General features: G+C 49.5%; 2 protein-coding genes across 6 annotated transcripts in view, besides 3 other annotated features; both read right to left on the bottom strand.

The window, feature by feature from the left end:
* PLEKHG5 (pleckstrin homology and RhoGEF domain containing G5) overlaps window positions 1–2,628 on the bottom strand; it is a 52,971-nt gene extending 50,343 nt beyond the window's left edge. Inside the window, exon 1 of the mRNA NM_198681.4 lies at window positions 1,981–2,628. The gene's annotated coding sequence lies outside the window, so the exon portion shown is untranslated. The remainder of the gene's footprint in view (window positions 1–1,980) is intronic.
* Window positions 1,811–2,011: a silencer, noted in NCBI's record as "peak31 fragment used in MPRA reporter construct". NCBI's record gives its function as "represses an SCP1 promoter by STARR-seq MPRAs in K562 erythroleukemia cells {active_cell/tissue: K562}" and the evidence as "EXISTENCE:reporter gene assay evidence [ECO:0000049][PMID:32103011]".
* Window positions 2,465–2,759: a silencer, noted in NCBI's record as "tiled region #8211; K562 Repressive non-DNase unmatched - State 8:EnhW". NCBI's record gives its function as "represses a minimal TATA promoter and a strong SV40 promoter by Sharpr-MPRA in K562 cells {active_cell/tissue: K562}" and the evidence as "EXISTENCE:reporter gene assay evidence [ECO:0000049][PMID:27701403]".
* Window positions 2,825–3,119: an enhancer, noted in NCBI's record as "tiled region #5048; K562 Activating DNase matched - State 8:EnhW, and HepG2 Activating non-DNase unmatched - State 23:Low". NCBI's record gives its function as "activates a minimal TATA promoter and a strong SV40 promoter by Sharpr-MPRA in K562 cells, with weaker activity in HepG2 cells {active_cell/tissue: K562 | HepG2}" and the evidence as "EXISTENCE:reporter gene assay evidence [ECO:0000049][PMID:27701403]".
* Window positions 3,883–13,399, bottom strand: part of NOL9 (nucleolar protein 9) — a 33,167-nt gene continuing 23,650 nt past the window's right edge. For all 5 annotated transcript variants that reach the window (NM_024654.5, XM_047430565.1, XM_005263493.5 and 2 more), the window contains 3 exons: window positions 11,530–11,707; window positions 9,232–9,365; window positions 3,883–8,539 (listed from right to left, as the gene is read on the bottom strand). In NM_024654.5, coding sequence (NP_078930.4) covers window positions 8,390–8,539; window positions 9,232–9,365; window positions 11,530–11,707 — 462 coding nt within the window. In that variant the 3' untranslated portion in view covers window positions 3,883–8,389. The remainder of the gene's footprint in view (window positions 8,540–9,231; window positions 9,366–11,529; window positions 11,708–13,399) is intronic.

Consider the following 13,399-nt stretch of genomic DNA (forward strand, 5'->3'; position numbering starts at 1 on the left):
CAGGGCCAGGCTTATTTAATTAAGTGGCCATTTTACTATGTGAGTGCTAGGGGCTCACATGTCAACATGCTGTCGCTGTCACTGTGGCTCACATAACTCTATATTCCCTGAATACTAGCAGGGGATGAGCTTGTGGGGGTGAGCAAAGGAAGAAAAAGTCAGCAGCTCAGATTCCTTGCTGGGGAGGGGATGGCCCTGGGAGGAATTCTCCATGACTCGCTGTCAGCTTCATAAATCTGTCGGGCCAGCCATCAGGGAGACAGAGATAAAGGTTGGAACAGGCTCAGATCTGACGACAAACAGAAGGGTCCATGGCCCAAATGCCCCGAGGCCAGGCCAGGCCAGGCTATCCCGCTGGGGCCGGGATGTTTCCCAGACCAGGCTCCAACTCGGGTAGGAGAATGTTACTGGATTTCATGAACGCTATTCCTGACCCCCGACTCCCAAAATGCGTCATGGCGGATATATATATACATATATTTTTTTGAGACAGAGTCTCGCTCTGTCGCCCAGGCTGGAGTGCAGTGGCTCCATCTTGGCTCACTGCAAGCTCCGCCTCCCAGGTTCACACCATTCTCCTGCCTCAGCCTCCCGAGTAGCTGGGACTACAGGCGCCTGCCACCACGCCCAGCTGATTTTTTGTATTTTTAGTAGAGACGGGGTTTCACCATGTTAGCCAGGATGGTCTTGATCTCCTGACCTTGTGATCCGCCCGCCTCAGCCTCCCAAAGTGCTGGGATTACAGGTGTGAGCCACTGCGCCCGGCCGTGTCATGGCGGATATTAAAAGTAAACTTGAAAATATGGATGTGCAGGGCCAGACGCGGTGGCTCACGCCTGTAATCCCAGCACTTTGGGAGGCCGAGGCAGGCAGATCACCTGAGGTTGGGAGTTCAAGACCAGCCCAACCAACATGGAGAAACCCCGTCTCTACTAAAACCACAAAATGAGCCGGGCTTGATGGCGCATGCCTGTAATCCCAGCTACTCGGGAGGCTGAGGCAGGAGAATCACTTGAACCCAGGAGGCGGAGCTTGTGGTGAGCCATATCGCACCATTGCACTCCAGCCTGGGCAACAAAAGTGAAACTCCATCCCAAAAAAAAAAAAAAAAGAAAAAGAAAAAAGAAAAGAAAATATGGATGTGCAGGAGGAATTTCCTGGCCCTTCCCGAGAGCTACAAAGACAAGGTTGGGAACGGTTCCAGACCATCCTTGCCAGGGGCGTGCAACTTGAAGGCACAAAATGGGACAGTCTGAAGGGCCTTGGGGCATCTTTCTTGCCCCACTTTCTATGTCACAGAGGAGGAAACAGGTAACCCTCCTCTAACACGAGAGCCACAGCAGCAAAGCCAACCTGCCACCAGAGCAACCCTTTGGCATATGTTTTTGTTTTTGTTTGAGACGGAGTCTTGCTCTGTTGCCCAGGCTGGACTGCAGTGGCACGATTTCTGCTCACTGCAAGCTCCGCTTCCCGGGTTCACGCCATTCTCCTGCCTTAGCCTCCCGAGAGCTGGGACTACAGGTGCGTGCCACCACGCCCAGCTAATTTTTTGTATTTTTAGTAGAGACGGGGTTTCACCGTGTTAACCAGGATGGTCTCGATCTCCTAACCTTGTGATCCGCCTGCCTCGGCCTCCCAAAGTGCTGGGATTACAGGCGTGAGCCACTGCGCCCAGCAACCCTTCGGCATATGGAGTCTAGGTCTTTCTTCTGTCAGGAGTTAGATGGCTGAGCAGCAAGTCCCCCTCCTCTGCCCTCAAATCAGAGCTGATGGCTCAAACTGCAGGGCTTGGAGGGCTTAACTCACTGATTAATGGAAGAATGAGACCAAATGGATCCAGCCTGCAAGTGGCTCTTAAACCGTCCGGACTAATTCAGTGAGTGTGAGTCCTTGGAGCCCTCCAAGACCTGCAAAGCCCCTCCTTTCACTCTGTGTCCTCAAACCTCCTTTCTAGACAAAAGAGATAGAAAACATACTCACCGGTTCCTGAACAAAGGCTGAGCCAGCTTCGAGGTGGAGACCCATGTTTTGTCAGGACTGAATTCATGCTTGACCTCTGCGGTGGTGGCACCCTGCCTGGACCTCCAGCCACATGCCAATGCCACAGGCCTCTCTAATCAGACACACAGGTCTCCGTCCTGCTTTGCCCAGTTGCCATCTCAACATGGAAGGCTTCTCCCCGACTCAGCCCCAGTCTTAATTTCTGCAGCTGGACCTGTCTGCACAGAAAACCAAGGCGCTCTCAGCCCTGCCAATTTGCTCCCCGTCCAACACAGGTCCCCTGGGCGCTGTATATTTGAAGGCACAGACTTCGCAGCCGCCGCTCACACTGCATTTCCTTGTTGGTGGTTGGTTCCTTCTTGGATTTTCCATTCCTGAGTGCCCATTTGCGCCCTGGAATGGGCTCCCACACTGCTGGCTGCCCTGGAGGTGCCGTCCCTCCTTTCCAGGAAAGCAACACCACAGAGACCCCGGCCTCTGCAATCCCAGCAGCCAGCAGCAGCCCCTCTGCTGGGCTCCTTGGCTACCAGGAAGGCCTTAGTTTGGTGGCTTTCCCCTGCCAGGCAGAGAGGGGCTGGTCACAGCGGGAGATCAAGTGAGCCTCAAAACATTAGAAAAACCCAAGCCAGTCTGCAGAGCACCGCAGCCGCCTCAGGGCCGGTTACCATAGCTACCCTTGGCTTCCCAGCCCAGCACATGTCTGCCCAGCTGAACTCTGCTGATTCGCAAGACTTTGCTTGCTCAGCTCCTGGCACTGCAGACTGGACCTGCTGCCCCCAACTCGGCGGCTACCGCTCTTCCTGGCAAAGCCTTGGGAATACTTAACTTAGCAAGGTCTTTCTGAAAAGGCCCTGAACATCACGTAGGCTTCCCCACTTACTGCATAGATGGCCCCCATATTTACTTTAGCCACTGTTCAGGCTGGGCTTGTCAGCCAATCTCTCTCTGCTAGGCCCAACCCTATGAGGTGTGGGAAGACAAGGGCTGAGTCCTCGCTGCCGAGAGGCAGTTTTATCGGCACAGCACTAGGTGGGGGTTTGTTTCAGTTTTTTTTTTGTTTTTCTTTTAAGTAGATGGTGTCTCACTATGTTGACCAGGCTGATCTCAAACTCTTGGCCTCAAGTGATCCTCCTGCCTCAGCCTTCCAAGGTGCTGGGATTACAGGCATGAGTCATTTTAGTTTTTTAAAACTTGAACTCTTCCAGGAGCAAAGCCCTGTTTCCTTCTAATACACTCCCAAAGACAGTCCAGAAAGAATGCAACATCCCCTCTTTACTTACATATGAACCAAGACAGGAAAATTAAACTCCCACTTGAGCTTCAAGTCAGTGACAAATAAAAATTAAAAATACTGAAAAAATAAACTCCCACTGCACTCAATACTTCAATGGTTAAAAACAACAACAACAAAACAGGCCAGGCACAGTGGCTCATGCCTGTAATCCCAGCACTTTGGGAGGCCGAGGCGGGTGGAACACCTGAGGTCAGTTTAAGACCAGCCTGGCCAATATGGTGAAACCCCCTCTCTAGTAAAAATACAAAAGTGAGCTGGGTGTGGTGGTGCCTGCCTGTCGTCCCAGCTACTGGGGAAGCTGAGGCAGGAGAATTGCTTGAATCTGGGAGGTGGAAATTGCAGTGAGCCGAGATTGCACCATCGCACTCCAGCCTGGGCAAAAGAGACTCTGTCTCAAAAAGAAAAAAAAGGGCACAACAAAACAAACAAACAAACACATCACAAGCATTTGCTGGAGTCTCCACACTTCATTAACCGCCTTTCAACATTTTTTTTCCTCCCAGTGTTTTTTCACTATAGTTTCTTCTAAGCATTTAAGTGATTACCTGGAATAAAATGACCTATCTACATAAAATTACACAACTAAATTCATGTTTTCAAAAATATTTAATGATACAAAAGTTCATCTGTTAACTGAAAAGAGCTGAACAGAAACCATACATATTTTGTAAAATACACACACACACAGCAGAACCCCAGCTGAGACACCTCACAGTGTCAGTGATTACTATGTGGTGGTGGGCTGGAGGATCATTTTCTACATGTGTAAGCTGCTTATAAAATTTTAAAAGCAACAAGTGGGGGTTTATGAAAAACTTTCAGGAATGGGTTATCTATGGTGGCCGTGGAGCTTGCTTCCTCAAGGGCTCTTTGACCACAGGAAGCTTGGTAGCAACAATTTTAAGGTGAACCTGCCAGAGGCAAGATGAGTAAGTAGCTGTGGATTCATTTAGTTTCTGCATCCCTCCAGCATGACCGTGAGTAGCACAGCCGTGGTGCCAGCCTCCTGAGTTTACCATCTCATCAGAGGCTAGCTACACACTAGGAGTTACTGACCGTTTCTACATGCCGGAGACTGTGCTACATCTCTTATAGACATGACTTCACTTACTCCTCACCCAGGAACACTGAAGGAAGGACAATTACCCAATCTTCAAAACATAAAACAGGCTCAGGCTAAGCATCTTCCTCCAAGTTACACCACTGACAAGTGGTAGAGCCAGGATTTGAACTCAGAGCTCTATAATCAAAGCCTGCTGTCTTATCCATGATCTTGCCATCCAAACCCAAAAACAAATGACCTAGGCCGGGCGCGGTGGCTCACGCCTGTAATCCCAGCACTTTGGGAGGCCAAGGTGGACGGATCACGAGGTCAGGAGCTCGAGACCAGCCTAGCCAACATAGTAAAACCCCATCTCTACTAAAAATACAAAAAAAATTAGCTAGTGTAGTGGCGGGCGCCTGTAATCCCGGATACTTTGAAAATTACATACAAAAATTACTAAGAGGCCCAGGCACAGTGTCTTATGCCTGTAATCCCAACACCTTGGGAGGCCAAGGCAGGCGGATCCCCTGAGGTTGGAAGTTCGAGACCAGCCTGACCAATAAAGTGAAACGCCATCTCTACTAAAAATACAAAAATTAGCTGGGTGTGGTGGCAGGCGCCTGTAATCCCAGCTACTTGGGAGGCTGAAGCAGGAGAATCGCTTGAACCCAGGAGGCAGAGGTTGCAGTGACCTGAGATCAGGCCACTGCACTCCAGCCTTGGCGACAGAGAGTCCGTCGCAAAAGAAAAAAACAAACAAACAAACAAAAACTAAGAGCTTTTGTAAAGAATAGCTTCAGGCCAGGCGCAGTGGCTCACGCCTGTAATCCCAGCACTTTCGGAGGCCAAGGCGGGCGGATCACGAGGTCAGGAGTTCGAGACCAGCCTGACCAACATGGTGAAACCCTGTCTCTACTAAAAATACAAAAATTAGCTGGGCGTGGTGGCATACGCCTGTAATCCCAGCTACTCAGGAGGCTGAGGCAGGAGAATCGCTTAAACCTGGGAGGCGGAAGTTGCAGTGAGCCGAGATCACTCCACTGCACCCCAGCCTGGGCGACAGAGCTAGACTCTGTCTCAAAAAAAAAAAAAAAAAAGAAATTGCTTCAGCACTTTGGGAGGCCGAGGCAAGCGGATCACAAGGTCAGGAGATCGAGACCAGCCTAGCCAATACGGTGAAACCCTATCTCTACTAAAAATATAAAAATTAGCCAGGCATGGTGGCGCTCACCTGTAATCCCAGCTACTTGGGAGGCTGGGGCAGAAGAATCACTTGAACCCGGGAGGGGAGAGGCTGTAGTGAGCCAAGGTCGTGCCACTGCACCCCAGCCTGGGTGACAGAGCGAGACTCTGTCTCAAAAAAAAAGAAAAAAAAAAAAGAATAGCTCCAATGGAGAACTCCTTACTACCTAATCTGACCCATAACAGACTGTGGAAATGATAAAAAGTCCAATCTTGTCCTTCTTCTAAATGCCCTTAAAGCCACTGCCACCAGCCGGGTGCGGTGGCTCATGCCTGTAATCCCAACACTTTGGGAGGCCAAGGCAGGTGGATCACCTGAGGACAGGAGTTCAAAACCAGCCTGGCCAACATGGTGAAACCCCTTCTCTACTAAAAATAGAAAATCAGCCAGGCATGGTGGCGCATGCCTGTAATCCCAGCTACTCGGGAGGTTGAGGCAAGAGAATCACTTGAACCCGGGAGGCGGAGGTGGCAGTGAGCCCAGATTGCGCCACTGCACTCCAGCCTGGGCAACAAGAGCGAAACTCCATCTCAAAAAAAAAAAAAAAAAAAAAAAAGGATAAAAAGGCCACTGCCATCAATAATGGGATGAATTGTCATCCTGGAGAATGGTGCTGCTGCAGGTCTGACCGGCACAAGCTAGACCTGACAGAGGCCTTGGCTCCCTGTCTCCGAACCTCCTTCCCTAAACCCTGTACAGCTTCCTGGGCCAACTCTAGCCCCAGTACGGCCACCTGACCCACAGCTGATAGCTCCCTCTAGAGGCAACGATTTTTCTTTACTGATAGGGACTGAAGAAAAAGACTTGACCTTCATACAGGCCGCATTTAAAGCCTGAAGGCAAACCTAGATTGAATGCAAATGCAATTACAGGGCACCAGTTTCATTCTTCCAGAGCCTTGCTGCAAATGACCTCCAGTGAGTATAACTGTAAGATACACGAAAGTGGAGAAAGGCAAAACATTGATGGTGATGGATTGTCTTAAAATTCTTTACAAGGCCAGCACAGTAAAACATCATATGAATGAGCCAGATTTCAACATAAATAAGGGGCAACTAAGAAGCTAGACTCAATTGTCTCAAAGGTATCAAAACTAATCACCATAGCAAGGTTTCCTGTGCTTATTTTAAGTCCTTTGCTGTTGGGTCTAAGAGGTGCTGAGGGGCCACTGTAAAATACTAAAGACAATGATAACCAACAGTTGTATAAGTGTATATAAGTGTTAAAACCCACACATCCTAATAGTCTTACAATGTGATCATGCTGGGAAGATGGAATTCTGTCAAAGCGGTGGTCACAATACCAGTTTGAACCTCAGCCCCAGGAAGTATCCTGCTGTCTTAAATGCAGAAATGATGTGACCTGGTCCCATCACCCGTTTACACAAACCACTTCCAACCTAGAGGACAGAGTCGGAAGCACCAGGGAGAACGTGGAGAATGGCAGTCTGGTCACCAGCCGCCGGCACCCCCAGGAAAAAGCTCTAAATGGCAGGGTTGTTCATAGGTGCAAGTTCAGGTCCAGCCTCCCACAGGCAATAATGGAGCTTTCCCAAGAGCTGGTCTGCCAGTCCTTCTTCCTTCAAAACAGCCCAGTCTCCAGCTCTGCCCTGTGGTTGTCTCTGGCCTCAGATCAGAAGTCAATTTGGACAAATCTACTTTTATAAGAGCCCCCAGAAGAGGTTTTCCAGATTATTATTTTTTTTTTTTGAGATGGAGTCTTGCTCTTGTTGCCCAGGCTGGAGTGCAGTGGCGTGACCTCGGCTCACTGCAAGCTCCGCCTCCTGGGTTCATGCCATTCTCCTGCCTCAGCCTCCTGAGTAGCTGGGACTATAGGCGCCCACCACCACGCCCAGCTAGTTTTTTGTATTTTTAGTAGAGACGGAGTTTCACTGTGTTAGCCAGGATGGTCTCAATCTCCTGACCTCGTGAACCGCCTGCCTTGGCCTCCCAAAGTGCTGGAATTACAGGCGTGAGCCACTGCGCCTGGCCCCGAGGTTTTCCAGATTTGAAAGAAATTTCCTCAGCATAAAACCTCAGGATTAAAAAAAAGGAAGGGCTCTTGGGTCCAAATTTATATCTATCAAACCCGTTTAAATTTTTCTTTTCTTTTTTAAAAGATAAGGTCTTACTCTGTCGCTCAGGCTGGAGTAGTTGGTGTACTCCAGCCTGGAACTCCGAGGCTCAAGCAATCCTCCCGCCTCAGCCTCCCAAAGTGCTAGGATTACAGGTGTGCATGAGCCACCATGCCCAGCCCTATCTATTAAACCTTGATTGAATATAACAGACCAAGTACAACTGCACCAAATGGATGGGCTGTAACCATCCACACTGGCTCCAAGGAAGCAGACCGCTGGACCCCAGCTCTGCACATGGCTCAGGCAAGGCCCGTGGCGAGCCCTTGTATCCATTATGCTTGAGATCCTGCAGGTCGGCCTTCTTCCTTCCTTCTCGGTACATTGTAATGGCCCCAGTTTCCTTATTTTTATCCTGATTCTAATAACCAGGTCCCTGAAGAACTTTCTGAGGAATCTCTGTTTTAATGGCACACAAACTGTTCTCTGCTGTTTTACTCCCTCTGGACAGCAAGTATGAGTATCACACAGAAGACTAGAACAAATTCTAGCTCATGCAGCTTTAAAAGAGAAACTTAAGACTACTATATGACATTCACGAATTACACAAAAAACACTGTTGCTAATAAGGGCACCATTCATGGCCATGAAACTCCATCATGTCTCTTGTGGTCAGGCTTGAGACAAAGCTTTCTGGTAGGAAAGTTTCTTCCCTTATTAAAAACGCGAGCATCACTTCATTTTTCGACAGAACTTAGGTCTTCGGTATGGTTTCTCTTTATGTGCCTCCTCAGGTTCTCTTGCTCCAATTTTCTCTGATGCTCCAGGAAGTTTAAAATTGTAATCCGTTGTGACATAAGGTACTGTCCCTTCGATCCCACGCTGAAACGGAAACACAGAGAATGCATGGAAACACTCCAGGTCCAGCCCAGAGGGGTTTACAGTGCTCTCTCACACCTAGAAGGCAGTGTCATGGTGATGGTCTGGGTGGGGACTTCTCACTTTTAAGGCATTTGATCCCTTCCTTCAGAGCCCCCTTTAATCAACTGGCTCGGTAACAAACGTGCCAAGGCCTCCCTTCTGTCCCATTCCATCAACACAGCAAACAGCGTGAGGCAGAGTGGGGGTGCAGTGTGCGTCCCTTTCAAATGAGGGACACTGGAGGATGAGAATGGTAGGAATATCCCCCGTTCCCAGAGCCCACTCGCAGTCCCTGTGGCTGGCTCTGGGGCACACAGACGCCTTGACCTGGTCCCGTGATGCCTCTGAAGACTGTCCTCAGGAGGGCAAACCTGGGAGGGCCTCTGCTTGCTCCAACACAACCTACTCCTATGTAAAGGCTCCACCACGGGTTGCAGTGAGCCCAGATCGCGACACTGACACCACGAGGGACAGTGATTCATAGTCTCAGGCCTTGGAGGCGGCCCTGACACCGTCTCGGCTCACTCAGGATCTACAACAAAGTATAGGTTTCCCAGATCACCCATTCCCATGACCCCTGACCCTACTTCAGCTCCTCACTTCTGTGGACCTGAGTAGGCTCCTTCCAGGGCTGTGCCCGGGGGAAGGCTCACCTGGCACTTAAGGACACAATGTGGAATGGCAATAGCTCCAACGAGCAGACAATTCACGGTCCTTAGCTCTTCCGGGGGCACAGGGGTGAGGATGTGGTACAGCCGCTTCTCCATGTCAATGCCTCTACAGATGCCTTCAAGACACGCGCACAACACAAAAATCACCCTTTTGGAAAACATCAAACTTCTCCATCGTTAGAAACTGCAGAATGGTTTTGAACATAAGTCTTTATATCAACTCTGTTTTGTTTTGAAAATACAAAGAGCTGGCCAGGTGCAGTGGCTCACGCCTGTAATCCCAGCACTCTGGGAGGCCGAGGCGGGTGGACTACCTGAGATCAGGAGTTCGAGACCAGCTTGGGCAACACAGTGAAACCCTGTCTCTACTAACAATACAAAAAATTAGCCGGGCGTAGTGGTGGGCGCCTGTAGTCCCAGCTACTCGGGAGGCCGAGACAGGAGAATAGCTTGAACCCGGGAGGTGGAGCTTGCAGTGAGCCGAGATGGCGCCACTGTACTCCAGCCTGGGTGACAGAGTGAGACTGTCTCAAAAAAAAAAAAAAAATACAAAGAGTCAAGAGATGGAGTCCTTGAACACTGGGGCAGTTCGTACCTTCCCTGTGTTCAGCCACGAGGAACAAAAATGGTCTACATGCAAAAGTCCTAGATTGGGCCAGCTGCGGTGGCTATGCCTGTAATCCCAGCACTGTGGAGGCTGAGGCGGGTACATCGAATGAGGTCAGGAGTTTGCGACCAGCCTGGCCAACATGGTGAAACCCCATCTCTACTAAAATCACAAAAATCAGCTGGGCATGGTGGCGCGCACCTGTAATCCCAGCTACTCGGGAGTCTGAGACACAAGAATCACTTGAACTCGGGAGGCAGAGGTTGCAGTGAGCCCAAATAGAGAGAGACTTTGTCTCAAAAACAAAACAAAACAAAACAAAAAAAAAACAGCCTGGGCACAGTGGCTAATGCCTGTAATCTCAGCACTCTGGGAGGCCGAGGTGGGCAGATCACGAGGTCAGGAGTTCAAGACCAGGCTGACCAACGTGGTGAAACCCCATCTGTACTAAAAATACAAAATTAGCTGGGCGTGGTGGCACATGCCTGTAATCCCAGCTACTCAGGAGGCTGAGACAGAAGAATCGTTTGAACCTGGGAGGTGGAGGTTGCAGTGAACGGAGATCACACCATTGCACTCCAGCCTGGGCGACAGAGCAAGACTCCGTCTCGGAAAAAAAAACAAAACAAAAAAGTCCTTGATTGTTGGTGAGTACAGGCCAGGGGGAAAATCCACCACTAAGGAATATACAGAAGACAACCTGATATCACTGTTCCTCCTTTATGGTCTGTGAAAATGCTTTTGAGAAATACAGTGTTGTCCAAATCTGAAATGTGCATTTGAGGACTTTGCTAATTTGGGACTACTTAGCTCCAGCACCCTTCCAAAACTCCAAATTTATTGACCTCAGGAAACCAGGGCAGGTCAAGGAAGTGGGGACCCAATCCCGCTGGGCACTTTGAGCCCTGGTCCAGACCCTGGATCTGAGTGACGGGAAGTGCCAGGCTGTGGCACAATTGCGCCTGGGTTCAGGTCATTCCTGGCTGTAGGGATGAATTTTAAGAGAGGAAGTGGAGAGTTCAGTTAAGAAACTTTTCAGTAGATGCCGGTGGCTGACTAGCATGCTGAGAAGAGGTGGAAGAAGCTGACATATTTTGAAGAGAGAAGCCACCAGACCATCTAATGGGCTGAAAGTACCAAATGAAGGCTAGGGGATGCCAAGGAGGGGCCAGGGTCTGACCTGGATGTCAGAGTGAATCTTCCAATGGACCAAGTACGAGCCTGGGGCAAGGAGGAGAGGGTGAGGGCAGGAGGGTCCTGGGGATCCCAGGTCTGCATGCCAGTCAGGCACTCAAGTGAAGATGCACACTGACAAGATGGGTTTGGAACGCAGACGAACAGCTGTGTTGGAGGACACTGCAAAAAGGCAACGCCTAAAATGGATTTAGAACCCAGCAGTGACTGAGACAGCCTAGGGGAGAAGTGTCGAGCAAGAAGAGGAGGGCCAAGCCCAGGCCCTTGGGAAGCCTACATTTACAGGAGCTGGCAGACGAAGCAGAGAAATAGCTGCTTCCTTCCTGGCCTCCAGCCCCTAAGGCGTGCTATATAGATGAGTGGGGGTTCTCTGACCTCTGTAGCTTAGACACAGCTACAAGGTCAAGACCAGTCATCTACAGTTGAAGCAGTGGATCCTTTTCAGTAGGTTTATGGATATGTTTTACTCTCAGACTCACCAAAGCCCAAGCAGTCACAGATTGGAGTCTGGGCAAGCAGGATGGGCCCATTCGTGTATCCTCTGACGTCATCCTGGATCTTGCAAAGACCAACCCAGCTGGCGTTTACAGCATATAGTATATGGGTAGGGGCGACATCAGAGTGGGTAATCCGGAGTGCGACTGCATTGAAAGGGACCTGGAAAATGAATTTGCATCTCACTCTATTCATGGCTACTTTGAAAGACCACTTAATTTCTACAACTAGATTAACCAGCTATCTAAAGATAGGTCTGCCAAAGTGCCTACTCAAAAGTATCTCTAAAGAATAAAAACAGCCAGGCACAGTGGCTCACGCATGTAATCCCAGCACTTTGGGAGGCCGACGCGGGTGGATCACGAGGTCAGGAGTTCAAGACCAGCCTGACCAACGTGGTGAAACCTTGTCTCTACAAAAAACACAAAATTAGCCAGGCATGGTGGCAGGCGCCTGTAATCCCAGCTACTCGGGAGGCTAAGGCAGAAGAATCGCTTGAACCTGGGAGGCGGAGGTTGCAGTGAGCAGAGATCCTGCCACCGCACTCCAGCCTGGGTGATAGAGCAAGACTCGGTCTCAAAAAAAAATTAATAAATAAAAAATAAAAATAAAAAATAAAATAAAAAATTCTTTAGGCTGGGCGCAGTGGCTCACGCCTGTAATCTCAACCCATTGGGAGGCCAAGGTGGGTTGATCACTTGAGGTCAGGAATTTGAGACCAGCCTGGCCAACATGGCGAAACCCTGTCTCTACTAAAAATACAAAAATTAGCCAGGGATGGTGGTGCGTGCCTGTAGTCCCAGCTACTTGGGAGGCTGAGGCACAAGACTCACTTGAACCCAGGAGGCGGAGGTTGCAGTGAACTGAGATCGTGCCACTGCACTCCAGCTTGAATGACAGACCAAGACTCCATCTCAAAAACAAAAATTAAAAATAAATAAATAAATAAAATACAAAAATTTAGCCAAGTGTGGTGGCGCATGCCTTTAGTCTTAGCTACTTGGGAGGCTGAGGTACTAGAATTGAGAATCACTTGAACCCACAAAGTGGAGATTACAGTGAGCCAAAATTGTGCCACTGCACTTCAACCTAGGTGAAAGAGAGAGACTCTGTCTCCAAAAAAAAAGAAACAAAAAACACTTAAATTTAAAAAATAAATGTGGGCCGGGTGCAGAGGACACGCCTGTAATCCCAGCACTTTGGGAGGCTGAGGCGGGTGGATCATCTGAGGTCAGGAGTTCGAGACCAGCCTGGCTAACATGGTGAAACCCCGTTTCTACTAAAAATACAAAAGATTAGCTGGGCGTGGTGGCACGTGCCTGTAATCCCAGCTACTCGGGAGGCTGACGCAGGAGAATCGCTTGAACCCGGGAGGCGGAGGTTGCAGTGAGCCAAGCACGTGGCATTGCACTCTGGCATGGGCAACAAGAGTGAAATTCCATCTCAAAAAGATAAATAAATAAATAAATGTGAAGTAATACAAGACAGATTTAAGTATTGGCAGATAAATCTCACATTCACTTAAAGAGCATCTCCAGATGAATAAATGACCCATAAACTAAAACCCCATTAGCAAAGTGACTTAGACTCTCCAGGGGAGATAACTCAGAGGCCTGGAGCCCACACCACCATCGGGCCCAAGAAACATATCCTTGCTGCCCAGGTCTGCCGCTTCAGCCTATGTGACCTAAGGCAAATGCTTCCACCTGACAATGCCCAATGCTCAAAGCTGTAAATGAAGCACGTCTTAGCCTTTCTCTCACAGGGTGGCCATGAAGTCACTGAGCCCCTCCATGCTTCGCAGAGTGCCTGGCACAGAGCAAGCGCTCAAAACCGGACATGCTGTGCGGCAGA

Source organism: Homo sapiens, chromosome 1 (assembly GCF_000001405.40).
Source record: "Homo sapiens chromosome 1, GRCh38.p14 Primary Assembly".
NCBI classification, from domain to species: Eukaryota; Metazoa; Chordata; class Mammalia; order Primates; family Hominidae; genus Homo; species Homo sapiens.